This window comes from Homo sapiens, chromosome 19, assembly GCF_000001405.40.
Source record: "Homo sapiens chromosome 19, GRCh38.p14 Primary Assembly".
In the NCBI taxonomy this organism is placed as follows: Eukaryota; Metazoa; Chordata; class Mammalia; order Primates; family Hominidae; genus Homo; species Homo sapiens.
In genome coordinates, this window is record NC_000019.10 from 40,215,995 (window position 1) to 40,243,749 (window position 27,755).

Consider the following 27,755-nt stretch of genomic DNA (forward strand, 5'->3'; position numbering starts at 1 on the left):
CTCTGGGTTTCTAAGGTCCAAGGGATGAGGCCCTCCCTGGTCCCCCCAAGAACACCACACAAGTTATGATCACCAGTGACAAGTGTTTTACCAACAAACACATGAGTCGGGGGAAGTTACATGGTGAGGTGGGAGGGCGAGGGATAGAGAGGTCCCCCTGGATTGGCCTCAGCCAATTACATCCCGAGTCTGGGACCCAGCCCCACTGTCTTCCCGCTGGAGGCTGCAACGATTCATCTTCAGCTGAGTCAGCTGGATGTAGCGGAGCACATTGGTGTCTGCAGGGGAGGTGGGCAGGGCATCATCTGGGTGTCCCGGGGCAGCAGGTGACTTCCACACCTCCCTGGCTCACACCCCATTCTCCGAAGTATCCAGCAGCTCGCTCACACAGCCAGTAGAGCCAGAGCCCTTCCCCAAAGCCCCAGTCACAGTCGGCAGTCCCCAGTCACAGCGGAGCCATCGCACACCTCTGTGCGCCTGTATTTGCGGCACCCTCTGCCAGGAATGCCTCTTCGCAGAGGCTCCCGTCACACTTCTCATCCTCCAGCGACATCTGCAAGAAGTCTGTTCTCTCCGAGCCACTTAACAGGAAAACTAATCTCGTCTCGGCTCCCACAACCCTGCACCTGTTGTAATCCCTCTTCCTTCTTCATTGGCTCTTAATACAAAACTGAGTGTTGTGTCTGCCCTCCTGCACTCATGTGTGTAAGTGCACACATGCACGCACACACACACACACCCCAATTTCCTGGCATCGTCCACCCGAGTGGATGAGTGGATGGTGCAGGAAGTGAATGAATAGGTGTGCGTGAATGGGTGAGTGGAGGAATGAGTGTGTGCGGTAGGCAGGGGTGGGACGGGGTAATGGAGATGACAGTGGGTGGATAGGGAAGTGACTGAGCAGGTGAATAGGAGATATCAGATGTGGCAATGACGGTAGATGAGAAATGGCCGGGGAGATGTCAGAGGAGCGATAGGTGGACGGATGTTTGAATGGCGGGTGAAGGGCGGGGTGGATGAATGGATGAGTGGGCGTGTAGGGAGTAGGTGGGTGGCGCAGCCCTACCTAGAAGCAGCTCCGCGGGAGGAGGGCTCTGCTATTCTGCCCTGATCTTCCTGCCTGTTCCCTCCGCTGCAGCCCCTTTCCCCGCCCTGGGCCCAGCCCTCACCTCTGCCCCGCCCCGCCACTCACCTGTGGGTTCCCGGCTGCGGGCCTCCTGCAGGTAGCGCAGCGCGCGTGCGTAGTCGCCCAGGTGGTAGAAGGCAATGCCGGCACGGTAGGTGGCCTTGAAGTTGCCCTGCTGCTTCTCCAGTACCTTGAGACAGTACTCGCGCACGCGCTCGTAGTTTACCAGCTCCGACTGCAGCAGGCAAGCTGCGAGGGCCCCGCGGCCGGCACTCTCAGAGCCTGCTGGCACCCCCAGAACCCACCTGACTGCGAGGAGCCGAGGCTCCAGGCGGCAGGGAACCAGGCCTAAGGGATTGCTCCGGCAACCAGGGGCGCCAATCCGCTCGCCTATCGAAACAGGCGCAACTGCGCCGCTGCTAGGGGGCGCCAAAACACGGACAGGCGCCACTGGGCGATCCACCCAGAGCTGTCGGTGGGCAAGAGCACTAAGGCCCCGCGCGGGGGCGAGGGCCGGGACCTCGAGAGCCTGGCTCAGGGCAGACTTCCTCACCTTGGGTCCACGTGCGGCCAGGGGGTGGAAAGAATGACTCAGGGGAAGCGAGGCCCTGAATACCCGACCCAAAGACCATTTCCTGCATCCCAGCTCCCTCCAGCCACAGACCCCTGTCATCCCCTACCCCTAATCCCTTTCCTTGATCAAGCTCTGAAGGCTCCCCCAGAAGCCCACAGCCCTGGACCCTTCAGCCCCAGGGCCCCTGGCCCCCAAGTCGCCAAGCTCTCCCGATTGCCCCCTCCCCTCGTGCCCCATCCCCCCACCCCCCGACGGCGTACCCGTGAGGGAGTCGTAACACTCCACCTCCGTGCTCTCCACCAGGCGCCGCTGCTCCTCGCTGAGGCGCGCCGGCCCGGGGCTGCTGGTGGGCCCGGGGGCGGGGGCGGGCAGGCCGCTAGGGCGGGCCCCCTGCGCCGCCTTCAGCTGCAGCAGCGCTCGGTGGTACTTGCCGATGGCCTCCCGGAACTTCTTCTCTCGATAGCAGCGCTGGCCCTCTGCCTTGAACGCCACGGCGGCACGCAGGCTGCTGTCGAGCGCCGCGCCCAGGCTCCCCGACGGCTCTGGGGTAGGACCGGGACGAGCCGAGCCATGGCGGGAGCCCGAGCCTGGGCCCGAGCCCGGTGGGGAGAGGGCGGGAGGCGGGCGCGGCGGAGGCTCCGGGGCAGCGCTGAGCATCAGCACCGGGGACAGCGCGCCGCGCTGCATTGTGGGAAACTCCTGCCGCCGCCGCTGCAGCTACCGCATCGCCCCCCGCGGGGCTGGTCCCCACCCTTTCTCCGCCCCCTCACCTCCGGCAGCCGACTCCGGCTGCCCCCTATGGGTCTAGGGAAACCCCTCGAGACTTCCCCCATGCTCACTCTCAAATTAACCAAGTCCTAGTTCTCCAGCCCGCCCCCCGAATTGTTCCCATTCCCCTTACCCTCCCCAACCTCCTGCCTGCTCTCCTCCCCGGTGCCCAAAGCTCCCGAAGATTTCTAGAAGGAAAGGACGAGCCTGGGGGAAAGAGCAGGAAGACATCAGCCTCACGGAAAGCTGGCTCTCAGCCCACTGGCCATTTGGCATATCGAATGAGAACACAGGATTTGGACCCAAGCTTCCCAAATTCAAATCCCTGCTTACTTTCTCACTAGTGGTATGACTTAGACAGCTCGCTTAAACTACCTGGAACTCTGTATCCTCATCAGTAACATGGCACAATAATATCACCTTTAGGGCCAGTCGAGGTGGCTCACGCCTGTAATCCCAGCACTTTGGGAGGTCGAGGTGGATGGATCGCTTGAGGTCAGAAGTTTGAGACCAGCCTGGCCAATATGGCAAAACTCCGTCTCTACTAATATACAATATATACAAAATTTTTGTATATATACACAAAAATTAGCCTGGTGTGGTGGCGTGCACCTGTAGTCCCAGCTACTCGGGAGACTGAGGCAGGAGAATCACTTGAACCTGGGAGGCAGAGGTTGCAGTGAGCCGAGATTGTGCCACTGCACTCCAGCCTGGGTGACAGAGGGAGATGCCGTCTCAAAAAAGGAAAGGAAAGGAAAGGAAAGGAAAGGAAAGGAAAGGAAAGGAAAGGAAAGGAAAGGAAAGGAAAGGGGAAAGGGGAAAGAGGAAAGAGAAAAAAGGAAAGGAAAGGAATTAAAAATAATACCACCTTTGGGATTCATCTGTTAATTTATGAAACAAATATTCACTGACATCCTTTCTGTGCCCAGCTCTGTGCTGGATGATGCTGGGACATAGCAGACACTGCGTGAGCTTCAGACCCTACTCTCACTGGGCCCCAGTTCAGTGGGAAGACAGACCAGTGACCAGACAGTGACAGCCCTGAGCAGGCTAGCCTGGGAAGCACAGGCAGAGGGGTCGGGGCCGAGGTGGAAGAGGCACAGGCAGAGGGGTCGGGGCTGGGATGTGGGAGGTACCTGCCCTGGGCTGAGGTGGTGATAAAGTCTTCCTGGAGGAGGGAATAACTCTAAAAACAAGAGAGATCTCCTTCTTGCCCTCATCCAGCTCGGCTGTCTATGGGGGAAAACAAGTGAGAGGGCAAACAAGTCCCCAGGAAAGGAAGCATGCAGGAGGCTTTCAAGAAAAAAATCGAGGATGAATGAGTCAACTGCCCTTCAGTCCTCCTTTGCCGCCTCCTTAGCTGTGGGACCTGGGCCAAGTTCCTCGATCCTCCTCCTTCGGCTTCGTCTGTGCGACATGAGGATAGAAGGCAAGTTAACCTCAGAGCGGTTGCAGAGACTGAATTATCTTATGCAGGTAAGGCACTTAGCACAGGGCTTCATACATTAATGGGCAATTAACAACTGGTGTTTCTTATCGTCCATTAGACTCTGAGTCATGTGATCATGAGTGCCTGGCTCTGAGTCAGCATCCATATATAGTTGTTGAATGAATGAGTGTGTGAGTGAATGGCATTATGCATTACTACTCCTCCCCCTCCTCTGAGACTCTAGCTTGGGTCTCAGCCCCAGGCCTCCCCACTCTCCCCAACTCCACCCCCACAGCACATCCTCTAGCTGGAGGTCCCATGGCAGGTCACATGTGACAGACAGAAACCAGAACTCAGCACCTTCCATCTCAACCAGAGCATCTGCCTCTATCTCTTATTGTACTTTGCTGTAAAACGCTTTTGCTGAGTGAGTTTCTCCCTTATCCCTGGGGTCCAGCCTTGAACACCTCAGGGGTGCAAACATTTTCCTCTCTGCATCTCCAAACCCAGGCTCAGTTAGGAGTGTAAAACTCATGAATTTGAGTTCTTGAGCAGTGCACACACCTTTCCCTACCTCCGGTGTGTCTGTTTTGTAATGAAAAACACAGAGATCTGGCTGGGCGCAGTGACTCACACCTGTAATCCCAGGACTTTGGAAGGCCGGGGCAAGTGGATCACCTGAATTCAGGAGTTCGAGACCAGCCTGGGCAACATGGCAAAACCTTGTCTCTACCAAAAATACAAAAAATTAGCCAGGGGTGGTGGCGTGCACCACTTGGAAGGCTGAGGCGGGAGGATTGCTTGAACCCAAGAGGTGGAAGTTGCAGTGAGCTGAGATCACACCACTGCACTCCAACCTGAATGATGACAGAGTGAGACCCTGTCTCAAAAAAAAAAATAAAAAAAAAAGGAGATCCGTTGATTCATAACCATGTTTTCTGACGAAGTAAATGCCTAGGTACCCAGGCACAGTAGCACAGGACAACTGTACCTAAAATCACAGTCCTGCTGGGATGCAATGCTAACACTTTTACAACACCTCCTAGGTGTCAGACATTGTCATAAAGAGCTTTCCCTTTTATTTATTTTTTATTATTTATTTTGAGATGGAGTCTTGCACTGTCGCCGGGGCTGGAGTGCAATGACGTGACCTCGGCTCACGGCAACATCCACCTTCCGGGTTCAAGCGATTTTCTTGCATCAGCCTCCTGAGTAGCTCGGATTATAGAAGCCCGCCACCACACCCAGCTAATTTGTTGCATTTTTAGTAGAGACGGGGTTTCACTATGTTGACCAGGCCGGTCCCAAACTCCTGACCTCGTGATCCGCCCGCCTCGGTCTCCCAGAGTGCTGGGATTATAGACTTGAGCCATCGCACCTGGCTGCTTTACGTATATTTTAACTCACATCCTCACCACAGTGTCAGGAGGTTGGTACCATAATTATCCCCACTGACACCTGGGCACTTCCCAGGTTAAGTATATCAGACCCCATTGATAAAACTCTTACTATCCAGGACTTACTACTACAAACTGATGACCTTCGCAGAGCATCTTCCAGGCTTGGGAGAACCTATCTTCATAGCCCAGTATATGTGATGTGTTGGGCTTGTACAACCATTAAGAAATATTGAATTAGGCCGGGTACGGTGGCTCAAGCCTGTAATCCCAGCACTTTGGGAGGCCGAGGCGGGAGGATCACCTGAGGTTAGGAGTTCGAGACCAGCCTGGCCAACATGGTGAAACATGTCTCTACTAAAAATACAAAAATTAGCCGGGCGTGGTGGCAGGAGCCTGTAATCCCAGCTATTTGGGAAGCTGAGGCAAGAGAATCATTTGAACCCGGGAGGCGGAGTTTGCAGTGAGCCGAGACCGCGCCATTGCACTCCAGCAGCCTGGGCAACAAGAACGAAACTCCGTCTAAAACAACAACAAAAACAGAAAGACTGAATTAGTTGACATCTAAACGCAGATATGGAATTGCAGAATCTCAGGTTTACTTGAATAAGATCTGAAAATCCGGCAACATCGAGGTAGCATTTCTTCTGACCGGGATGGGCATTCTCAACTCCCCCACAGTCCCCATCTCTTGTGATTTTTTGCCAGTCCTTAAGGGATCCCAGTTTTATCCCGCTGAATGACTCTTGGGGAAGCCCGCCATTGCCCCCTGGTGGAGGAGTTCAGAATTTGCATTTTATCTCCCAGCAACCATTAAAGGAAGTGGTGAGCACATCCAATCAGAGGGATGCGAGGCCTAGAAAGCGACCAATCAAAAGCGAGAGGGGACCGGAATTCGACCAATGAGGGCAGAGAGCGCTCAGAATAAAATAAATTCTTTTATTGAGATGAGAGACGGACACACACTGGGAGGGTTTTGTTTTTTGTTGTTGATTTTTTTGTGACTGAGTCCCAGTACTCAGGGAGGCTCAGACTGGAGGCGGCGGAGCAGGCAGGCGGCGGCAAGGCTGGTCCCCTGGCGCTGGGGCCGCGCATACTTGAGGAAGACTGCGGCGCGACCCGGCGCGGGACCTCGGAGCGCAGCGCGGGCCATGCACGGCTCGAGGGTGCCCAGTTCCTCGGGGCTGCAGCAGGGAGATGGAGAAACTGAGGCAGGGCAAGTGGTTGGAGATGACCCATCCTTGGAACTGGAGACTGGAGGCTGAGAAGAAGCGTCGATGTGGTTCCCCACGGACGGGTCGGGGGCTCTCTTGAGATCGGGCACGCGTCCCGTCTTCAACTGGAGTGACTAGGCGAGCACCGGGGAGAGGTGGACACCCTATTCTTCCTACAGGGCGCGGCTAGTGCGGAGTCAGAACACTCGAGGAAGCAAGGAGGGGAGCTGAGGATGGGCAGCCATCCTCTCTATGCTGGGTGCACAGGCTGAGGGAAACCATGGTTCGCCCTGCCACCTGGTAGCATGGTTAGCGGCCCTAGCAGCTAAAGGAACACCCCATCCACCACCAGATACAGAGATGGAGGACTCGAGGCCTGGGTGATCCTTCGTTCTCAGCCCTGGAAGGCAATAGGAGCATCTTCTGGGCCTGGGAGACTATCTTCCACTCTGGGGCAAGGTTAAGAGACCCCAGATCTGGACTAATGGGGTCCTCCCACCCCATTCTCTCCCACACCCAGAAAAATCAAGTCTAGGTGCCACCTCCTCCTCAATAATTGTCTCTCATTCTCCGAGACCGTAAAAATGACCAGGAAGGTAAGTCCCTGAAGCTGCGGTGACCCCATACACTTCCTCCGCCAAGACTACACCTGTAAAGTTCTGGCTGGAGCCTGGAGCCCGCCCCGTCGAGCAAGCGGTGCGCCAGGCTCAGAGCCGCAGCCGCACGACGACCCGGCTCCCATCCCGCCGCCTCGGCCTCCAGCAAAGACAGCTCCAGGAAGTAGGTGGCAAGTAACATCACCTGCAAGTGAGGCGGGGCGACTGTCAGGCCACGCCCCACTTCGCGCCGGCCACGCCCCCACCCCGCGTATTCACAAGGGCTCACCTGGGGGCTGCTCCCTGCCAGCGCGGCCAGCAGCCCGAGGCACAGCAGCGGGCCGGGGTGGTGCAGCCGGAAATCCAGGCGGCTCAGGATGCGACGCTCGGCGCGCAGCAGCTCCGCCCGTGAGAAGGAGTCCGCGCTCAGGAGGCAGAGGAAGGCGGGCTGCAGATGGGGGATGCGGGGGGAGGTGAAGGAGTCTTGGATCCGGGCTCTTTACTCCCTGCCCTGGAAAGGCCCCAAGTTCCGGACCTCAGTTTCCTGGTGTGTAAAATGGGGCCATTGACTTGTGTCTGGAAGTCGTAGAGAGCACGGGCTTGAGGGTCCTGGGTTCAAGACCTAGGTTCGAGTTCAAACCCCATCATCTGCTCACTGTGTGACATAGGACATTCACTTAAGCTCTCTGCCTCAGCTACCCCCCGCCCCCCGTAAAACAGATACTACTCCCTGCTTCACCAGGCAGTTCTGATAAGGCACTGAATTCATGCATGTTGACGGTAACTATTCAAGATGGACTAGTTTATATTATTTTTATTTACTTTTCTAAATTAGAGACGAGGTCACCTTGGCTCCCCAAAGTGATTTGTTTTGTTTTTTTTTGTTGTTGTTGTTTGTTTTTTTGGAGTGCAGTAGCGCGATCTCACCTCACAGCAACCTCCGCCTCCTGGGTTCAAGCAATTATCCTACTTCAGCCTCCTGAGTAGCTGGGCCTACAGGCGTGCACCACCACACCTGGCTAATTTTTATATTTTTAGTAGAGACAGGGTTTCACCATGTTGGTCAGGCTGGTCTCAAACTCCTGATCTCAAGTGATCTGCCGGTTTCAGCCTTCCAAGGTGCTGAGATTACAGGCGTGAGCCACCACCCCCAGCCTTAAGACAGACTATTCTAGACTGAGTCCAAGTTCCAACTGCTTGATTTGGGGCAAATGTCTTCCTCTCTCTGAGCCTCGGTCTCCTCTTCTGTTTAAGGGACACATTGACAGCCCCTCCCTCATACATGTTGGGAATCCCAGACTCAGCACGGTGCTTGGCACACAGTAGTCACTGAATCAGTTACTCCCCAAAGGACTCCATCCACCCTCCCAAACCCCACCCCGGAAGTACCTCGGGAAGCACGCACTCTTCCATTTTGCACGCCACAAACAGGCAAGCCACGCCCAGCAGCTGCAGGCGATGTAGACGCACGCGGCCAGCGCTCAGGTAGGAATCAAGCAGGTGAACCGCCAGATAAAGTGTGTCACCAGCCAGACCCAGGTACTCCTGAGGAGGGGCAAGGGTGACCACGGGGTCCTGGGCGGCGACGCAAACTCAGCCCCCCACACCCTTCCAGATACCTACGTGCACCTGGACCAGCCAGTCTACCACCAGGGCGCGCATCTCCGGGGTCACAGCGCGGGGCAGGGCTCTCAGGGGCAGCACGCGGCACACCTGGGGTTGGGGCAGGGACGCTTCACTCTCCACACCTGTGCCTCTGCCTTTCTCCTGAGCTCCAGCCCTGGATGCAGCAGCCTCCTCCAGTCAGTTGGACATCTTAGGCATGCCACACCCAAACTGGCCTCCAAATGAGCTCCTCTTACGTGTCCTCACCTAGAACTCTGGGCTTCGTTCCAGATGCCTCCATACCCACCTCTCCGCCACGTGGACTCCTGGGCGTCTCCCTCTAGGTTCCCAGACTTCACTTTTTTTTTTTTTTTTTGAGACAAAGTCACTCTGTTGCCCAGGCTGGAGTGCAATGGCGCAATCTTGGCTCACTGCAACATCCGCCTCCTGGGTTCAAGCGATTCTCCCGCCTCAGCCTCCCTAGTAGCTGGGATTACAGGCATGTGGCACCATGCCCGGCTAATTTTTATATTTTTGTAGAGACGGGGTTTCACCATGTTGACCAGACTGGTCTTGAACTCCTGACCTCAGGTGATCCGCCCACCTCAGCCTCCCAAAGTGCTGGGATTACAGGTATGAGCCACTGCACCCGGCCTCAGACTTCAACTCTTGACCACGAATCCTCAACCCCTCTGCCTCAGAGCACCCAGAAGCATCTTCCCAAAGAAAGATCTGACCAAGGAACTCCCCAGCTTAAAACCCTTCCATGGCTCCCAGTACCCTTGGAGAAAACTCTGATTTCTTTCAGGCTCTGCTCCAGCATCACCTCTTCCCTCTCTCTCCCCACAACCCATGCGTCAGCCACAGCTGCCTTCTTTTTAGCTCCTAGACTATACCAAGCCCATTCCTACCCCAGGCCCTTTGCACTTCCTGTTTCCTCTACAGAGAGGGTCCTTCCCCAGCCCCTTACTCGACCTTTCCGTCATTCAGCTAACATCTCCATGACTTTGTCTATACTCCTACCACCCGATCACTATCTCTTTGTCTCAGCATTTTCACTGTGAAGATGTCTCCCTGTGTGCTTTGTCTATTTGGCCGCTAGGCTGCCAGTCCCACGAGGGCAGGGACTTCTGCCCACAACACAAGTGTCTCTCAGGTCCTAACAGAGATCCTGGCCCAGGAGAGTCGCAGGCAAGACGTTCAACAAACTCCTCCCTTCAGTCTTCCTTCCGCAGCAACCCTCTCATAGGGATATCTGAAGGCTGGCGAGGCCAATGTTTTGGTTTGCGTGGCCTTTCCCTAGTTGTTCTATGTGTTTGCTCATCTCCCCAGAACGAGGCCAGCATTGCAGCATCTCCAGCACCTAAAACATTTGCTACTAAACCATTAAATATTTGTTAAACAAATAAATGTGGAGGACAAGTACAGGGGACCATAAACACCCCAGGAGGGACTGCAAAGAGCCCGGGGACGGTGGGAAAGGGCATTCCCAGCGGTAGAAACGGCGCTGTGTGAAAACAAAACAAAAGCCTGGACGTTGCAGGGAAGGAACGCCGGCTGCCAGTGATAGGGAGGAGAGGCTGGAGCGGTGGGAGTTCAGAGTGGTGTTGAGTGGGTGCCGGGCGGTGGGCCGGCGTCGCCCTCACCAGGGCAGGCGGCGGGTAGGCTCACCATGACTTCGGCGAAGATGTCCCCGGCGTACTCGCGTTCTCCCTGCAGCCCCAGCGCGCTCAGCGCCTCCTCCAGCCCCGGCGGCCTCGCCAGGCGTCTTGGGGAGACAGTGGGGCCCGCGGGGAAGCCGTCGGGGACTGCGGCGCTTGAAGGCTCTGCGTCGAGGGAGGCAGCGAGACTCTGCAAAGGAGAGGGCCTGGGGGCCCAGCGCCTAACGATAGGCCCGAGCCGGGAGCCGGACCCCTGGTCCCTGCCTCTCACCAGCATCCTCCAGGAGGGTGTTGCGGGCGAGGCCAAGCACCGACCCTTGCAGCTAGGGGAAGAGACGCGCGGCGGGCGCTTTAAAGGCCCCTGGGCGCGTGCGCACTGAGCCCGCCTCGCCCGGGCAGGTGCACAAAGGTGAGTGCCCCGCAGGCTGGCTCTGTCCTCTCGAAGCCCTCTAAGGTCGGACAGCTGGAGACAGATCCTCATCCTGCTGCCCGGAAGCAGCCCCTCTGGGCCTCGCTTTCCTGACCATAAAGTCGGGATGATTTCAAAATGTAGAATCAGGGTTTGCACCGTCAGAGGATGGATGTACAAACATAGATCGGAGGTTAGAATGACCCTTGTGGTGTCGGTGTCGCAATGGAATTGGAGATAAAATTGTGTGAACACATGGTTGTTTACATAGAAGTTAAGTGTTGTGTGGCCGGGTGTGGTGGCTCACTCCTGTAATCCCAGCACTTTGGGAGGCCGAGGCGGGCGGATCACGAGGTCAGGAGATGGAGACCATCCTGGCTAACACTGTGAAACCCCATCTCCACTAAAAATACAAAAAGTTAGCTGGGCGTGGTGCCGGGAGCCTGTAGTCCCAGCTACTCAGGAGGCTGAGGCAGGAGAATGGCATGAACCCTGGAGGCGGAACTTGCAGTGAGCGAGATTGGGCCACTGTACTCCAGCTTGGGCGACAGAGCGAGACTCCGTCTCAAAAAAAAAAAAATTTTTTTTAAAAAGTGGTGTGTATGCAAACATGTATTTCCTAGCTTAATCCACTGGGAGAGCTTAAGAGCAGCGACACCCCAATAGTGAGAAGCACCCCTAACATCCAAACCCTGGCCGCCACATCCCATTCTCCACTAAAAGGAACCAGGGCTACCTGGAGAAATGGCTGATCCCAGGGTCATACAAGAGAAGGTACAAGATCTGGAATATTTTTGTGTGGCAGAAAGTGTCCCAACAGCAGGGCAAGTCACATAGATGCAGAAGTCACTAGCTAAATCTAGAAAATGTGAGCATCAAGATGATAGTCATAGATCACAAACCACTGAATAAAATTAAAATACAAGTTTATTCTGATATAACTCAGGCAGTGGGAAAGAAAAGCTCTTCTAATCTTTAGAAAGTGAACTAATAAATGTGTTTTGTTTTCAGACAGGGTCTCGCTCTGTCACCCAGGCTGGAGTGCAGTGGTGTGAACACGGCTCACTGCAGCCTCAACCTCCTAGGCTCAAGTGATCCTCCCATCTCAGCCTCCCAAGTAGCTAGGACTACAGGTGTGCGCCATCATGCTTGGCTAATTTTTAAATTTTTCTGTAGAGACTGGGGTATCACTTTGTTGCCTAGGCTGGTTTTGAACTCCTGGGTTCAAGGAATCCTCCCACCTTGGCTTCCCAAAGTGCTAGGATTACAGGTGTGGGCCGCCATGACTGGCCGAACTAATAATGTAGAAGGTTGGAAAATCCTATTTGGCAACCACCACAGCATCGTTTCATGCAAGAAATATCAATAGATGTTCAAACTAGTGGGTGAACATCTGATAGGAATCGGGATATCTACAAAATGTCTCTACACAAGATGTTTATTAACTGTGTAAACCAAAAGGTATCTGAGATAGGTGTCAATCAATTTAGAAAGCTTATTTTGCCAAAGTTAAGGGTGTGCGTGTGACACGGCCTCAGGAGGTATTCGGGGCACAGCTTGGTTTTATACGTTTTATGGAGACATGAGACGTCCTCAATATGTGTAAGCTGTACATTGGTTCGGTCCGGAAAGGCAAGACAACTCGAAGCAGGGGAGGGGGCTTCCAGGTCATAGACAGGAGACAAACGGCTGCATTCTTTTGAGTTTGATTAGCCTTTTACTGAATGCACAATTTACAGGAAGAGCCATCCATGCCTAGTCTGGGTCAAACAATAGGACGGAGGAAGCCATCAGATATGCATTGGTCTCATGTGAGCACAGGGATGACTTTGAACTCTGCCTGTCTTCTGTCCACAAGGAATTTCCTTGCGGGCAAATGGAGAGACGTAAGTAGCTTTAAAAAAAAATATATATATATATATATATCTTTTAGGCCAGGCGCAGTGGCTCACGCCTGTAATCCCAGCACTTTGGGAAGGTGAGGCAGGCAGATCACTTGAGGTAAGTTCGAGACCAGCCTGGCCAACATAGTGAAACCCTGTCTCTACTAAAAATACAAAAATTAGCTGGGTGTGGTGGTGGGTGCCTGTAATCTCAGCTACTGGTGAGGCTGAGACAGGAGAATCACTTGAACCCTGGAGGCAGAGGTTGCAGAGAGCCAATATCGCACCATGGCACTCCAGCCTGGGCGATAGAGTGAGACTCCGTCTTAAAAAAAAGAGAAAAAAAAAAAGTGAGGCAACCAACCCTGGTTGAGGGAAAATAACTGCAAAATAACTGCCCTGTGAGTTTCACACCTGCCAACTGAATGCAACATGTGAGCCTGGTCATTAGCTAGGAATTTTTAACATACAAGGACATTAAGCGTGACCATTAGCGAACACTATAAAATCTGTACAGAAGAGCAGTTTCAATGTTAGCTTCCTGACCTTGGTAACTGGAGAGCAGTTATGTAGCAGAATGTTCTTTAGGACAGGTATACAATGTGGAGCGGGAGGTGGAGGGGTGAATTTAACATTCTGATCCCATTTTTGTCCGTTTTAAGTAAAATGCTATGACGAACCTGGCGAAGGGTATATTTTGTAATTCTTCTACATAACTTTTTTGAATAGATTGACAGTTCCCACCTACCCCACACCCAATTTCCCCAATGAACATCTCATATTAGTGTGCCCCATTTGTCACAATCCGTTAGACCAATATTCATCTATTAAGTCCATGCTTTATTCAAGCCTTCCTTTTTCCCTACGTTCTTTTTCTATTTCAGGAAACATTACATTTAGTCACCATGACTCTTTTGGTTGATCTTGGATGTGTCACTTTCTCAGAATTTTCTGATTAACCACCTTGGCAGACAAATCCCTCAACTGAGATCTGTCTGATGTCTGCTTCCTCTCAGTGAGGTGGTGTGTGTCTGCAAGAGGAGGATCAGAGGGAAAGTGCCATTCTATCACATTAAAGGGACACTGTGAAGGTGATTCATCAGCAGTGTTTGCCTCGATTGGCTGGATGATGTAGTGTTTGCCAGGGACCTTCACTGAAAAGTTACTTTTCCCCCTCTCCACACTGCACTCTTTGGAGGAGTCACTGCAGCCCACGCCTAAGAAGTGGGGGTTCCATAGCCCTCCTTGAAGGCTGTCTACAGAAATTACTTATGATTTTGTGTAGATTTGCATATTCTCCCCATTTTGCCACTTAGCAATAGACTTATTTCACATTTTAGGTGAAAACCCAATATTATGCTATTTATTTTGTTGTTCAAATTCTTTTCAGCTTTGGCCACTGGAAGCTTTCTGTTGGCTCCTGTGTCCCTGTGACTTAAGCATATCAGTGCGTGCTTTCAGGCACTGCAAGATGCCCCAGGCTCATCTTGTACATTTCCTGCCCCAGGCCTGGAATAATCTTAGTACAGCACTATTTTTGAAAGTTTTCTGCAAGTCTGCAATTATTTCAAAATTTAAAGTATCTGAATGGCTACACTTTTTTGGAAAGGTACTGGACATTAAAATCCTGGGATGTAGACAAACAAAAGCACCAGCACAGTACAGATGGATAGCTAGTTTATTACAGGACTGCTGGTAGCACCAAACGAAACCAAGTCAATTCCTGTTAACGGGGCAGCTGAAGCGGTTGAGGGGTCTACCCCATGGAACCCCAGGAAGCAGCTGGAAAGCCTGAGTTCCCCCCATGCAGCAGCTAAAAGGGAATCGCACTGCCGCCCCCGACTCCACACAACCATCAGTGCACGAGGGCAGCCCCCAGAGGCTTCACATTAACTGGAAAAGATTACACAAAAAGAGCAGGAAACTACCAATTTATGATGCCGTGTCCATTTGCAGAGAGGTAATCAGCACCAAAATGAGTACTCAAGGCCCTGCGACCTCGGGTGAATTTCCTTTCTTATACTCCTGCTTTGCTGTCTTTTTTAATAGCATGTATCATGTTTTTTTTTTTTTTATTTTTAGAGACACAGTCTCATTGTCCCAGGCTGCAGTGCAGTGCCGCAATCATAGCTCACTGCAGCCTCAAACTCCTGGGCTCAAGTGATCTTCCCACCTCACCTCAGCCTTCCAAGTTAGCTGGGATTGCAGGCATGCACCACCATGCCCAGCTAATTTTTGTATTTTTTGTAGAGATGAAGGTCTCCCTATGATGCCCAGGCTGGTCTCGAACCCCTGGCCTCAAGAGACCCGCCCGCCTCGGCCTCCCAAATTGCTGGGATTACAGGCATGAGCCACTGTGCCCAGTCACTGTTCTTTATATACAAAAAAGAATGTGTGAAATTTTTAAAATGTACATTGCAAAAGACGATTATTCTACTCAAAATTTATTTGGTAAGATTTTATTAAGACTCTAAGTTCAAACACCCTTCTTGGGAAAAGCTCTACAGGATAACCACACATGCTCAACTACGGGGCCAGCTGCTGCAGCTGTGGGACCCCATCCTGTGGAAGAGGAGAGAGGCACTAAAAAGATGAGGTAGCCAGGCCTGTGCCCACACTACGAGACCTGCATCACCATGGTGTGAGGAGCAGCAACGTGGGTCAACTCGGGGCTGGGACGAGATGGAAGAGTAAAAGGCCTTTCTTCATAGGCCTGCCTATTTTATGACCACCAGGGTAGACTTTTGTAATTAAATTAAGGTCCACATGACTTTAGAAAGACAAACTAAAAAACCCCAACCAAACGAGTCCTAGCTGTAGCTAACTCTGATTTCTGTAAATTGGATCTGACTTTTTCTGCTTACATTCACTTAAAATCTCAAAGACTCAATGGGTGTGAAGTGCTAACACCTTGCGGCAAAATCTCAAATTCATCTGTGCCAGGCCCTCTGCACAGCAGGGCTCAGCAGGGCAGGCCAGGGCTCTGGTCCCTGGTCCCTTGCTGGGGGAGGTGTTCCATCCGGCCAGCGCCCGGCCATGCAGCCACGTGACTCAAGCACGGGAAGTGCAGGGGCCCAGACACATCCAGGCTAAAGGGCAGTGACTAGGGGAGGGCTGACCCCAAGCTGAACAGGGTTCTAACCAAACGCTCAGGAGCTCCCAGGTGACAGCAACCACGCCACCATGAACACACCACTGGGTCTGTACTGGAATTTGGGGGCCTCAAGGCTTCCAGGTGGCAGCATAAACAGGGAGGTGGGGCAGGATAGGAATGCCCCCCTCTGAGGCTCGGCAGCCGGGTGGAATGAACCACTCCCTCTCATTCAGTGACAGCACAGGCACCCTCCTCATTCTGGGCTACCCAGATCTTCCAGCCCTGTCCCTCCACCCCACCTCTCTTAGCCTAAGCAGCACTGAGGGCCTGGAGTGGTCTCTGTCCACCCCACCCCCACATGCGGGGAGCCTTCCCATACCCCTCAGCCCCACAGCACCAGCTCCACCCACCCTCTCCAGCCTGAGCTCCTGCACACACCCCAGCTGCCCTCACCCTGAGCTCAGTGCCCTCCTTGCTGAAGGGAACGGCTAGTACAGGAGGAGCTGGGGCCCAGGGGTCTGACTCCATCACCAAGGCAAAGCCCAGAGTGGTTGGGCTGGCGTGAGTGCAGGCTGGGCCCTGGTCTGAAATGAGTGTCTTTATTGCTTGTACCGTACAAATATGAAGACGAGGAGAAAGGCCAGTAGGGACGGAGAACTGTCAGATAACAACATCGCACACAGAGGAAAAAGACCCTCACCCACCCGAACCAACCCCACCCCTCCCCACCCTGCCATGAACTGTGTAGTACAGGAGATGGGATAGGGAGAGCAAACCCACAAAAGCTAAACTCCAAACACCCAGAGGTGTTGCTACAGGGAGGGGAGGCGTGGGCAGGGCAGCTCATGGATCACAGTGGGGCTCCTCCCACTAGGTCAGCACCCCTCCCCCACAGGATGAAATGCTCGGGCCAGGGATGGGGCCCAAGCCCACACACCATGCACACTGGAGGACACGCTGCCCTCACACAAACACACATGCACACACACCCACGTGTGCCTGCGTCCCGCCGACACACGCAGTCCGAGGCACGCACAGGAGTCCCACAGCACTGACATGGACGTGCACTCATGTTCAACCTTAAGGCTGCAGAACGTGGGGCCCTGGGGAGAGGGAGGGGTGAGGGGGGCCTAGGAGCCTCCCTTTTCAGAGGCCCCCCACCCCAATAGGTACCAGAGATGCCCACCCCCACCCCTCCCTGACCAAGTCCATGGGGCCCAATACTGTCCGGTGTAAGATTGTAACAGCCAAGGCTGGTGGCCCTCCACCCCCGCAGAGGAGAGGGTGAGCCCAGCCCATAGCCCCCAGTGGGGCCAGGCCAGGCCCAGGGTCCAGCGGGAGGTAAGGCCAGCTGGAAGGAAGCCCTAGTAAGGCACGGGGCTGGGAGGCAGGCAGGTTTGGCCCCAAATGTTCCTCCTGCCTCATCCATAGGGTGAGGACAGTTTGGTGGGGAGGAGGCCGGACCAGGAGGCGGCACCCAGCCCGGCCACTCCTGGTTCCCCATGGTACAGATCCTAGGATCTGACTCCATTCACCAGGGAGCAGCCCTAACCCCCAGCCCTGCAGCTCCCAAGGGCCCCTGCCTGCCCCTGGACATTATTGCTTTTCTGCCCCCATAGGGGGACAGCGGGTGGGGGATTGGACCGCCCCGTGCCTGGCCACTCCGAGCCTAGGCCACGGGGCCTGGAAGGCAGCACCACTGTCTGCCGGGTGTCGCGTCCCACCAGAAGGCAGCCTTCGTCCAGATGCAGCAGCGCGGAGGCAGACACCAGCACGACACCCAGGCCAGAAACTCAGGCAGGCCCCAGGCGCCATGCTTCACCCCTCACTGGGGCTTGTGTGGATTAAAACCTGAATCTCCAACCGCCCAACAGCCCAGGCCTGGGCGGGAGGTGGAGTCTTCCAAATGCGAGTCTGGGCACAAAGGTGAGGCTGGAGGCTGGAGGCAGGGGCTGCAGGGGCCGCTGGGGTGCGTCTGGGAGGGGCCTGAAGAAGAACTGGAAAGGGGGTGAGGAGGTGGGGGTGGGGACACAAACCAAAAAGGCTAAGTAAAAAGTTAGGGGGAAAAAACCACCCAGCGGTGATGGCAGCGAGCGTGCGTCCTCTGCGTGGGCAGACTGCTCACTCGCGGATGCTGGCCGAGTAGGAGAACTGGGGGAAGTGGGTCCGCTGGTCCAGCTCCAGTAAGCCCAGGCTGTCATCTGTGGGCGGCAGAGGTGGATGGGGAGGACCAGTCAGGAGAGGGCCTGGGACACCTGCCCAGACTCCCTGGGGAAACGGCCCCAGCTGGCGGGGGCTGCCCACAGGACAGGACAGGAAAGGCCCATCCCTCCGCAATGGAGGCCCTCAGCCACGGACCCACTCCCCAAACCTGAGCCCCGGGCGGCCTCCTCTGGGAGTTTCCTGTGCCCTTGCCCATGCGCCCCACAGCTGGCAGGGCCTTCTGAGCCTCCCACCTTCTCTCTGCCCCACACACCACCATGCCAGAGTCCAGCCCAGAGCCCTGTCCTGGCCTGCCTCTCGCACCCTCCCATCCATTCTCCACGGGCAGCCAGGGGGGCTTTCTAAAGGCCTGCTTTAACCCTGTCCCTCTCTGTATGAAACCCTTCCATGGCTGGCTCCCGCCATGCAAGCAGTCCCCACCCCTCCCAGTGGCCCCCAGACCCTTGCACTCCAGCCCCATGCCCTCTCTTCTCACCACCATCTCCCTGGCTGCTGCCGGTCCTTAGCTATGCCATGCTTCTCCCATTGCTGGCATCCCACACGTCATTCCTCCGGCCAGCTGACACGTTTGCTTCCTCCTCTAGAAAGCCCTCCCTAACTGCAGGCCAGGTCGGATATTTCCTCTGGGATTCCCCAGTCCCTGGCCTCCCACGCCCTAGCCCTGACCACTCCAGGCCGCCCACCCTACCTGGGCTGGGAGCTTTCCAGGGCAGGGCCCAGGGCTGGCTCAATCAGTGCTGTGTCCCCAGCATAGCCCAGCCCTGGGCTGAGTTCAGAGTAAGAACCCAAACAGCTGTAAAGCAGTGAACCCAGCCAGGCTCAGGGACCGGGCTGCCTCCTGCCCTGAGCCCCCCGACTGAGCTCCAGAACGTGCTGCAGTCAATGGCTCCTGGTGGCCTCACCAGGTCCAAAGAGGACCAACAGCAAAAGGGCCTGAGAGCAGACTTGGGGAAATCTCCCAGACATGAAGCGGGGGCCTTCGAGGGCCCTCCTTGAGAAGTGAGTTAAGAGCAGATCCCATCCCTCCACCCCTGGGGCAGGCACACCAGCGCGGGGGCCCCAGGCACTCACAGCGGTCAGGGGGTGTGATTGTGATGGACTGGGCGGTAAATTCATCATCGAAGTACCTTGTGTCGACCTCGGACGTGACCTGAGGTTTGAAGGGTGGCAGGAGCTACGGAGGAGAGGAGCTCAGGCTCAGGGACCCTGAGGCCAGGAGGCCTCAACCAAGGTCACCACGAGTGGGCCAGGTCCCTGAGGGTCCTGCTGGGGCAAGCAGTGGGGCTCACCTTCTTCTGGACCACGTCCTGCCAGTTGATGCTGAGGAAGAACCTGTGCTCCATGACCTCCTTGGCATCGCTGGGCCCCCCACCAAGCCTGTGCAGAGACGGCCGTCAGCACCTGCCTCCCGGAGCAGCTGGGTTCGGGCAGACGGGCTTTCGGAGCAGGCAGGCCCTGTATGGCCCTTAATGATTCTGTCTTGACCACAAACCACTTCACAGAGGAGGAAACCGAGGCTCAGGGAGGGAGCTCACGTGCCCAGGGTCAGAGCCAGGGAGTCAGCAACCCGGACCCACGTGTCCTCACTGCCTGGCCTTACCCTGAGTCCAGAAAGGGAGTTAGTAGGGCAGGCTCCGTTCCTATCCTGGCTCTGCCACATATGGTTTGGTGGCCCCAGCCAGGCCCAGGGGATGCCCTGTTCCTCAGTGTCCCCATAAAATAAGGCAGTGTCAAGGATGGGCCTGCCCTGGGGGAAGCACTCCCTAAGTGCCACTGTGGACGTTTTCAGGGGCTGTGTGGGGACGACACACTGCGACCCTACAAGCGAGCACCCTTGTGGACGCTGCCCCCTCCAGGCCGCAGGGACAGTGGCAGCAGCTGGCGCTGGGCTGGGTGGGGCCGACGCCAGCCCTCACCTCTGCTTGGGGTCCTTCTTAAGCAGCCCAGCAAGCAGGGACTTGGCCTCGGGGCTGAGCGTGCGCGGGAAGCGGATCTCTTCCATGAGGATGAGCTCGAAGAGGCGCTCGTGGTCCTGGTTGTAGAAGGGCAGGCGGCCGCACATCATCTCGTACATGACCACACCCAGCCCCCACCAGTCCACGGCCCGGCCATAGTCATTGTCCTCCAGCACCTGAGGATGGAGGAGAAATGAGGGCTGGGCCCGTGGCCCTGAGGCTGGCATCACAGTCCTGCCCTCAGGGCATCTGGGCTGGAAACACACAGGTCTGGGGGATCCCCCTACCCTTGGCCTCACACGTTCCTACCCCCACCAACCCCAGACACCTCAGGCGCCAGGTACTCCGGGGTCCCACAGAAGGTTTTCATGGTGGCCCCGTCACTGATGCCCTCTTTGCAGAGGCCAAAGTCAGTGATCTTGATGTGGCCATCTTTGTCCAGCATGAGGTTTTCCAGCTGTTGGAAAAGTCAACGGATCTCAGGTGCATGCTCCCAAGGCTTCCTGCCACCCCAGCCTTTCCTTCCAGGGAAAGATGCCCGGGGCTCCTGGACATCAACCCTCCCATGCCAGGCTGGGCCCAGCACACACAGCCTCACCCTCTGAGGCTCAGAGAGAGGCCAGATCCAACCCTCCTCACCCTCTGGCCCACCCCCATGGTACCTGGGAACAGCTGGGCAGGGAGAGCCGAGAGCCAGGCCCTGTCCACCCACCGTCCCCATTGTGAACTGTGGTTCTTATTTCGAACGTGGGGGCACTAGCTTTCTTCTATTCTTTTTTTCTAGACTTTCTGTCCTTTAATTATGAAATATGCAGCCAGGCAAAGTGGCTCACACCTGTAATCCCAGCAATTTGGGGGACTTAGGTGGCAGGATTGCTTGAACCCATGAGTTTGAGACCAGCCTGGGCAACACAGCGAGACCCCATCTCCATATTTCTTAATATGAAAAAAAAAATTAGCCAGGCATGGTGGCACACACCTATAGTCCCAGCTACTTGCGAGGCTGAGGTGGCATCTCCCCCTGGAAGGCCCTGTGTGCCCCTCCCGGTTACTGACCATCCCCCACAAGAATTAACCTCTACTTCCCATCTGTACCACTGCACACAGACACACCTGTGAACTGTGGACTCACCTCCTCTGTGCGGCTTTCCCTCGACATTAGCCTATGAGACGCGTCCACACTGTCGTGTGTAGCTGTAGCTCATTCCTAACTGCTGTGTGGCGTCCCACTGTGAGAACACTCCACAGTGGATCTGACTGTTCCTCTCACAGTGGATACTTGGGTTGTTCCAGTTGGGGCTAGAGTAAGTCCTGCTGCTGAGTGAGGGGGACACTTTCTAAGGTGAGTGTGTGTCCCCACTTCTCCTGTGCACACAGCTAGGGCAGATGACTGGTGCTCAGCTTTGGTGGACACTGCCAAACTATCTTCTAAAATTGGCCGGGCGCGGGGGCTCATGCCTGTAATCCAAGCACTTTGGGAGGCTGAGGTGGGTGGATCACAAGGTCAGGAGTTTGAGACCAGCCTGGCCAATATGATGAAACCCCGTCTCTACTAAAAATACAAAAATTAGCTGGGCATGGTGGCGGGCACCTGTAATCCCACCTATTCGGGAGGCTGAGGCAGGACAATCGCTTGAACCCGGGAGGCAGAGGTTGCAGCGAGCCGAGATCACACCACTGCACTCAACAGAGTAAGACTCCTCAAAAATAAATAAATAAATAAATACAAATAAAGTAGGTATTGTGGCAGTTGACACTCCGCTAGTGGCCTAGGAGCGCTCATGGGAGGCTTGGGAAGGTCCCTACTTGGGGCAACTTGCCACAGAGCCACCACCCTGGACCTTGGTGGGGAGCCTGGTGAATGAGGGCAGCCACCACCCTGGACCTTGGTGGGGAGCCTGGCGAATGAGGGCAGCCACCACCCTGGACCTTGGTGGGGAGCCTGGCGAATGAGGGCAGAAGCTCAGCCCAACTTCCCCAGTGTGAGTCCCATGTGGTGTGCATGCCACAGGTCAGCCTGGCGCACACCCTGCCACTAACCTTGATGTCGCGGTATACCACGTCCCGCGAGTGCAAGTACTCAAGAGCCGAGACAATCTCTGCACCATAAAACCGGGCCCGCTCCTCTGTGAAGACACGCTCCCGGGACAGGTGGAAGAACAGCTGCAGGAGGAAGGGGTGGGGAGAGGAGGTCAGGCCCCAGCCCACCCACCTGCCCTCACCTTCCCAGCCCCCTGCCCCAGCGCAGTGATGTGGTGACACCTGTATCATGAACCAGCAAGTGACAGCTAGAGGGACCAATCAAGGCAGAGCGCAGAAGCTCATAAGTGACACAGAGCTGGGGGGAAGGGCGAGGGTCTGCCAGGAGGCACCCATGAGAGGGTATGGGAGAGACATCCGAGACAGGAGGGAGGATGGCATGGAGGCAAAAAGAAGCACACGTCATGACCAAGTAACAATAGGCCATGGGCAAGCCCAGATCAGACAGATGAGCAAACCACGCATCCCAAAGCAGGTGTGCCAACCACTGCACAGAGAAGGCGCGAGGCAAGGAGTGGGTGACAAAAGTGAGGCGACTCTGTAAGGGGAAGCTGAGCGGCTGCGGGAATTCACTTCGAGAGGACACGGGAACGGAGGGCTGCTAGGTTTTAACCCTTGGGGGCTTTCTCTGGGGCCTTTAAGACCATCCTTCCCAGTGCTATCGCCCCACAGCCCTCTCCACACCTCTCTGGACTGGTTTGGACCTGACCCACCCACTCACTAGCTGTGTAAACTTGGGCAAGCCACTTAACCTCTCTGAGCCTCAGTGACTGCCCCCCCAAAATGGAGACGAAGCCGCCTGCCTCAAGGGAGAGGGGCACTAGATGACACTGAAATTTCCCTCCACCCTTCCATCTCACCCACAGCTCCTCTCCATCCCGCCCCACCCTAAAGAAGGAGGCCCCAGAGGGCAAAGTCAAGGCAGCCGCGGCTCACCTCACCCCCGTTGGCATACTCCATCACAAAGCACAGGCGGTCGTGGGTCTGGAAGGCATACTTCAGCGCCTGGGGGATGAAGGCAGCAGGGTGGGAGGTGGGAGGGAGGAGGGCTCTGCTGAGCCATGCCAGGGCAGGGCCCTGGCCCTGCTTATTCTGCACACACACACCCTGCCCTGGCTGGGGCCCCCAGGAGTCAGCCATATGGGGTTCACATACCGGCTGCACCTTTTGGGGCATTAAGTGAAGGCATGGCTCTGCGGTAGGAAAGGGTTACATGCTGAACCATCTTGTCCTCTGCCTCCATCAGGCACAGCCAAGGGAGAACTAGAGCTGTTCTGAGCAACCATGGCTCTTGTTTTTACAGTAAAATGTGTTCAACTTACACACACAAGTGATGTCTGCTGTGGCTGGGAGTGGCAAAGGCTTGGGAGCCAACTTCAATGACAGGATGGACAGGCTGTCAGTCAACAAACAGTAGTTCTCCACTGCACTAAGGAGATCTACAGAGAGTTCCTCAGAGACTCCCACCAGGGGGTCCTTCAGCTCATGACAACTCAACTATTCTGTTTTCTGCACTGAGGTACCTCATAAGATTTTATTTGAAAAAGTACTGTGGCTTAATAGGATACCTGGACAGCAACTGAGATAAAGAAATGATACATAAGCCATCCTCAATCTAGTCCATTTAACTGGTGGCCACTGGCCTTGATGGAGACTGCAGCCCAAACAGGCATCTACTCAGTCCAGGCTGACAGACAACACAATGCTAACACATCTGCTTCTATGAGCATATCTGAAAACAAAAACAAAAAAAATAATGTTTCCACTTCAACCAGCTGGGCTAAGTGCTCCTAACTCATAGAGACAGCAGCCAGCAAATAATGTGATATCTTCAGTTAGTTCAAATGCTTACATGAAGCCACCATCTATGAAGAAGCTGTCACCCTCCCACTCCCCGAGCCTGCTCACCCCCACCACATGTCTTGGTTCGGATGACTTGGCAGGGCGCAGCAACACCTTGCCCTGCCCGCCTGGCCTACCCCAAGACTGTGCTTTGTACCAGAAGATTAGGGCTCTCTCTCTGAGCTCTGTCCAAAGGCTGGCCTCACACTGTCTGGGAAGGGGAGGGCAACTCACAGTGAGGAACGGGTGCCTGGTGTTCTGGAGGACCCGGCTCTCGGTGACTGTGTGAGCGACTTCATCCTGCAGACAGACTGCGGGTGAGGGGCTGGTGGGCAACACCACACCTGCCCACTCCGCCCCGACGAAGGGGAGCAAGGCCTTGTGAAATGCAATTCCATTCCCAGCCATAAATGCAGAAAATCACAGGAGTGAAAAGTGAAAGCCTGCAAACCCTCAGCAAATAGCAGACCCAGACGAGGATCATCAGTGGCTCTCAAAGCCACAGGTGAAAAGTCAGCAGGAATGTCACAATGTAAGGACCAGGCTGCTAGGGACAAGACACCTGTGACGTCCCTGCAAGGGAGACAAACAGACATCACGAGAGCCCCGAGGTGCCACCACAGGCTGTGGGAAGTCCCACCTAGAAAGCATTCTTGCCCAAAGAAGGAAAAACAGTGCTTCTTGGTGTGGTCCCCACACAGCACCTCAGCACCGCCTGGGAACTGGCAGCAATGCAAATTCCTGGGACCTACCCCCAGGCCCACTGAGTCAGAAACTCGGGGTGGGCCCAGCACTGTCTCACAAGCCCTTTGGGTGACTCTAATTCAGGTTCTAATTTGGTACCTGACTGTACAGCAGAACCACCAGGAGTGGTTCCAAAAATCTGGAGCCACCTGCAGCAACGTGAACACAGGCTCTCTCTGGGGCAAGTTTATCCCCAGGGGACACCTGAGAATGTCTGAAGTCTTTTTTTTTTTTTTCCCTTTTTTTTTTTAGCTGGGGGTCTGGCTCTGTCGCCCAGGCTGGAGTGCAGTGGTGTGAACATGGGTCACTACAGCCTCAACCTCTGAGGCTCCACTGATCCTCCCACTTCAGCCTCCTGAGCAGCTGGGACTACAGGTGCACGCCACTATGCCCAGCTAATTTATTTTTATTTTTACAGAGACAGGGTCTTGCTTTGTTGCCCAGGCTGGTCTCGAACTCCTGGGCTCAAGCGATCCTCCCACCTCAGCCTTCTAAAGTGCTGGAATTACAGGCGTGAGCTGTGGCGCCCAACCCAAAAGTCATTTTTGATTGTCACAACTTGGGGAGCTAGTATTGGCTTCAGTGGGTAGAAGCCAGGGGTGCTGCTGAAACCCTAGAATGCACAGGGCTGCCCCGACAGCGCAGAATCATCTGTCCCAAAACGTTAACAGTGCTGAGGCTGAGGAAGGCTGCCTTAGGCCCAATCGTCACATCAGGAATGAACAGCTAATTTGGTTGGCTCTGATGGCAGCACCACATGATTATATTCTTTACAGTCTTCATCTGTCAGGACACATGTTCAAGTATGGATGAGTGAAGTGACGTGTTGTCTAGGACAGGCCTTAAAGTATTCCAGAACAAGAGGGACAGGCAGAGCTAAGGAAACAAGGCTGGCTAAACGCTGATAACTGGTTAAACTGGACAATGGCTACATGGGGGTCCGTAATATTTATTTTCTTTTTAAATTTTTGAATGTCTTTGGAATCTTCCACTACAAAAAATTCAAATAAGGGAAAAAGTAGAATTCCACTCCTGGCCCGGCCTCCACCTGGGATACCCTGAGCAAAGCCCGGGACTCCCCAACAGCGACGTCCTCCCCAACAGGCCCCAGCCTCCCTTGACAGTACCTGCTGGGTGGGGCCCCGAGGCTCTCTCTCTCCACAGGCACCCCCAGCCCCTAACATAGGGTGGAGGTGGGGACTCAGCAGCAAGGCCTGCTGCTCCTCTCTGGGCCTCAGGCTCCCCCTTTTCTGACTAGGGGGAATTTGTGGGGGAAATAAGCCCACAGCAGCAGAAAGCGCGGGTAAGCGTCCAGGCCTCAGGGTCAGGCTCCAGACCGCAGCCCCCACAGAGGCTCGCGAGCGCAATTCCCGGGGCACGCACCTTGGCAATGATGACTTCCTTCCGCAGGATCTTCATGGCGTAGTAGCGGCCAGTGGCCTTCTCCCGCACCAGGATGACTTTGCCAAAGGTTCCCTTGCCAAGGAGTTTGAGATAGTCGAAGTCATTCATGGTCTGCCAGGGACAGGGAGAGTGGGGGCAGTCAGCGCCTGGCTCATGGCCCGTGGGAGGAAATTTTAACAAAAGAAAGAGGAAAACCAAAAGACACTGTTGCCAAACGGCTTAGGCTGGAGCAGGAAGGGAGGCTCTGGGCAGCAACTGTGTGTTCTGAAGCGGCCTTCAGACCAGGCTCTGCAGGCACAGGGCCTTGGGAGGGCTGGGCTCTGACGTGGGGGTAGCCAGGTCTTCACCAACTCCCAGGACGAACCTGCAGTGGGTCCACCCAAGGTTGCTCCCTCCCCTACGGGCATGGAGCACACCCTAGGGCACCTGCCACCTGAAATCACCCCACCCTGCAGGGCAGCCTTGTCTCTCAGCTGAGCCCCCTGAACTGTGTTATGGAAACCAAGGAGAGCAGGCCAGCACTGGGGGTGGGGGCACCGCAGGCTGGCAGCCCCACCCCTGCTCCCAGCACTTACCACTTTAGCCCGTGCCTTGCTGACCGCCACTTCCATCTCCTCAGTCGTGGAGGAGTCACTGGGGGAGCCACACTTGTAGTCCATGGGGTCCTCGCCTGGGGCCCGCTGCTTGAGGCTGTTGGCGACCATCTGGATGGCCCGCATCCACTCCTCCCTGTGCAGGGACACACGTGAGTCCCAGCAGCCAGGAGTCCTGGGCCTCAGAGTCGAACAGCTGAGTGCCACCTCCCAGCCACCCCCAGCAACAGGCAAGCAAATGACCACATAACCATGGGAATTTGGGCAAGATCTGTCAGAACCAGAGAGAGCTGAAGGGACCTGAGTGAAATTCCACGCCAGGCGCAGTGGCTCATGCCTATAATCCCAGCACTTTGGGAGGCTGAGGCGGATGGATCACAAGGTCAGGAGTTCGAGACCAGCCTGGCCAACATGGTGAAACCCCGTCTCTACTAAAAATACAAAAATTAGTCAGGGGTGGCATTCGCCTAATCCCAGCTACTCAGGAGGCTGAGGCAGGAGAATTGCTTGAACCCGGGAGGCGGAGGGTGCAGTGAGCAGAGATCGCACCACTGCACTCCAGCCTGGTGACAGTGCGAGACTCCGTCTCAAAAAAAAAAAAAAAGTGGAATACCAAGAGCGATCACCAATTTCCCTAAAGTGACCTGGCCTGAGGGCCATTTGAAGCCAGGCAGCAGGGAAATGATCAAAAAGGAGTGACCCTCTCTTTTCACAGCCCCTTGAAAATGAGCCACCACCCTGAGCCTTGAATGAGGGAGAGAGAGTGCTCCTGTGAATTCTTCGGAACAAATGACAAGCTCAAGTTTATAAGTTACCAATGTTTTGTAAAGTTAAACCAAGAGTAAGAAGCAGCATTCATTAGCCAAAGGAGCTGAAGACACTGCAAGGCAAGAGCTGGCCCGCAGGACTCCCTGGAGGGGACAGTCCACTGGGAGCAGGGAGTCTGCATGGCAGGGACAGAGGTCCTGGCAGCCCAGGGATGTAGAGGAGAGAAGCTGGTGGACAAGAAGTAGGTCCCAGCAGAAGGGAGCCTGGTTTAAGAACAGTTAACTAGAGGCTAAGCACTGTGGCTCACACCTGTAATCCCAGCATTTTGGGAGGCCAAGGTGGACCAAGTGCTTGAGCCGAAGCGTTCAAGACCAGCCTAGGTAACAAAGCAAGACCCATCTCTTAAAAAGTTTTTAAAAAACAAAAATAA

General features: G+C 55.2%; 3 protein-coding genes across 11 annotated transcripts in view, besides 6 other annotated features; all 3 read right to left on the reverse strand.

Annotated features, from left to right (window-relative positions):
- Positions 1 to 63: 63 nt before the first annotated feature.
- TTC9B (tetratricopeptide repeat domain 9B) lies at positions 64 to 2,390 on the reverse strand. 2 transcript variants are annotated; one of them, NM_152479.6, is made up of 3 exons: positions 1,961 to 2,390; positions 1,193 to 1,375; positions 64 to 278 (listed from the first exon to the last, which is right to left on the reverse strand). In NM_152479.6, the coding sequence occupies exons 1-3, from the start codon at positions 2,385 to 2,387 to the stop codon at positions 169 to 171; spliced, it is 720 nt and encodes a 239-aa protein (NP_689692.2). In that variant the 5' UTR covers positions 2,388 to 2,390; the 3' UTR covers positions 64 to 168. The 2 variants fall into 2 exon arrangements, with proteins under 2 accessions (NP_689692.2, XP_016881857.1); XM_017026368.2 differs by having other exon boundaries at positions 64 to 581.
- Positions 1,258 to 1,848: an enhancer, noted in NCBI's record as "H3K4me1 hESC enhancer chr19:40723159-40723749 (GRCh37/hg19 assembly coordinates)". NCBI's record gives its function as "activates a minimal SCP1, AML or CMV promoter by ChIP-STARR-seq in naive H9 embryonic stem cells {active_cell/tissue: H9 hESC(naive)}" and the evidence as "EXISTENCE:reporter gene assay evidence [ECO:0000049][PMID:30033119]".
- Positions 3,427 to 4,626: an enhancer, noted in NCBI's record as "MED14-independent group 3 enhancer chr19:40725328-40726527 (GRCh37/hg19 assembly coordinates)". NCBI's record gives its function as "activates an origin of replication core promoter dependent on BRD2, BRD4, P300/CBP and CDK7 cofactors, and independent of MED14, by STARR-seq in HCT116 cells {active_cell/tissue: HCT116}" and the evidence as "EXISTENCE:reporter gene assay evidence [ECO:0000049][PMID:35650434]".
- Positions 6,214 to 10,695, reverse strand: CCNP (cyclin P). 5 transcript variants are annotated; one of them, NM_001411133.1, is made up of 6 exons: positions 10,381 to 10,695; positions 8,728 to 8,817; positions 8,494 to 8,649; positions 7,394 to 7,552; positions 7,158 to 7,309; positions 6,214 to 6,478 (listed from the first exon to the last, which is right to left on the reverse strand). In NM_001411133.1, exons 1-6 carry the CDS (start codon positions 10,645 to 10,647, stop codon positions 6,313 to 6,315), a joined length of 990 nt encoding a protein of 329 aa, NP_001398062.1. In that variant the 5' UTR covers positions 10,648 to 10,695; the 3' UTR covers positions 6,214 to 6,312. The 5 variants fall into 5 exon arrangements, with proteins under 5 accessions (NP_001398062.1, NP_079153.2, XP_047295412.1 ...); NM_024877.4 differs by having other exon boundaries at positions 6,214 to 7,309; XM_047439456.1 differs by lacking the exons at positions 6,214 to 6,478; positions 7,158 to 7,309 and having other exon boundaries at positions 7,463 to 7,615.
- Positions 7,825 to 9,024: an enhancer, noted in NCBI's record as "P300/CBP strongly-dependent group 1 enhancer chr19:40729726-40730925 (GRCh37/hg19 assembly coordinates)". NCBI's record gives its function as "activates an origin of replication core promoter dependent on BRD2, BRD4, P300/CBP, MED14 and CDK7 cofactors, with strong dependence on P300/CBP, by STARR-seq in HCT116 cells {active_cell/tissue: HCT116}" and the evidence as "EXISTENCE:reporter gene assay evidence [ECO:0000049][PMID:35650434]".
- Positions 10,383 to 10,502: a silencer, noted in NCBI's record as "silent region_10618". NCBI's record gives its function as "represses an Ori minimal core promoter by ATAC-STARR-seq in GM12878 lymphoblastoid cells {active_cell/tissue: GM12878}" and the evidence as "EXISTENCE:reporter gene assay evidence [ECO:0000049][PMID:35858748]".
- Positions 10,529 to 11,082: an enhancer, noted in NCBI's record as "H3K27ac-H3K4me1 hESC enhancer chr19:40732430-40732983 (GRCh37/hg19 assembly coordinates)". NCBI's record gives its function as "activates a minimal SCP1, AML or CMV promoter by ChIP-STARR-seq in naive H9 embryonic stem cells {active_cell/tissue: H9 hESC(naive)}" and the evidence as "EXISTENCE:reporter gene assay evidence [ECO:0000049][PMID:30033119]".
- AKT2 (AKT serine/threonine kinase 2) overlaps positions 14,323 to 27,755 on the reverse strand; it is a 55,029-nt gene continuing 41,596 nt past the window's right edge. For 3 of the 4 annotated variants that reach the window (NM_001243028.3, NM_001243027.3, NM_001626.6), the window contains 10 exons: positions 26,540 to 26,693; positions 25,944 to 26,075; positions 24,051 to 24,116; positions 22,911 to 22,979; positions 21,975 to 22,097; positions 20,263 to 20,391; positions 19,896 to 20,110; positions 19,269 to 19,356; positions 19,051 to 19,153; positions 14,323 to 17,957 (listed from right to left, as the gene is read on the reverse strand). In NM_001243028.3, the coding sequence (NP_001229957.1) occupies positions 17,878 to 17,957; positions 19,051 to 19,153; positions 19,269 to 19,356; positions 19,896 to 20,110; positions 20,263 to 20,391; positions 21,975 to 22,097; positions 22,911 to 22,979; positions 24,051 to 24,116; positions 25,944 to 26,075; positions 26,540 to 26,693 (1,159 nt within the window). In that variant the 3' untranslated portion in view covers positions 14,323 to 17,877. The remainder of the gene's footprint in view (positions 17,958 to 19,050; positions 19,154 to 19,268; positions 19,357 to 19,895; positions 20,111 to 20,262; positions 20,392 to 21,974; positions 22,098 to 22,910; positions 22,980 to 24,050; positions 24,117 to 25,943; positions 26,076 to 26,539; positions 26,694 to 27,755) is intronic. The other variant, NM_001330511.1, reaches the window with a different exon arrangement.
- Positions 26,086 to 26,587: an enhancer, noted in NCBI's record as "H3K4me1 hESC enhancer chr19:40747987-40748488 (GRCh37/hg19 assembly coordinates)". NCBI's record gives its function as "activates a minimal SCP1, AML or CMV promoter by ChIP-STARR-seq in naive H9 embryonic stem cells {active_cell/tissue: H9 hESC(naive)}" and the evidence as "EXISTENCE:reporter gene assay evidence [ECO:0000049][PMID:30033119]".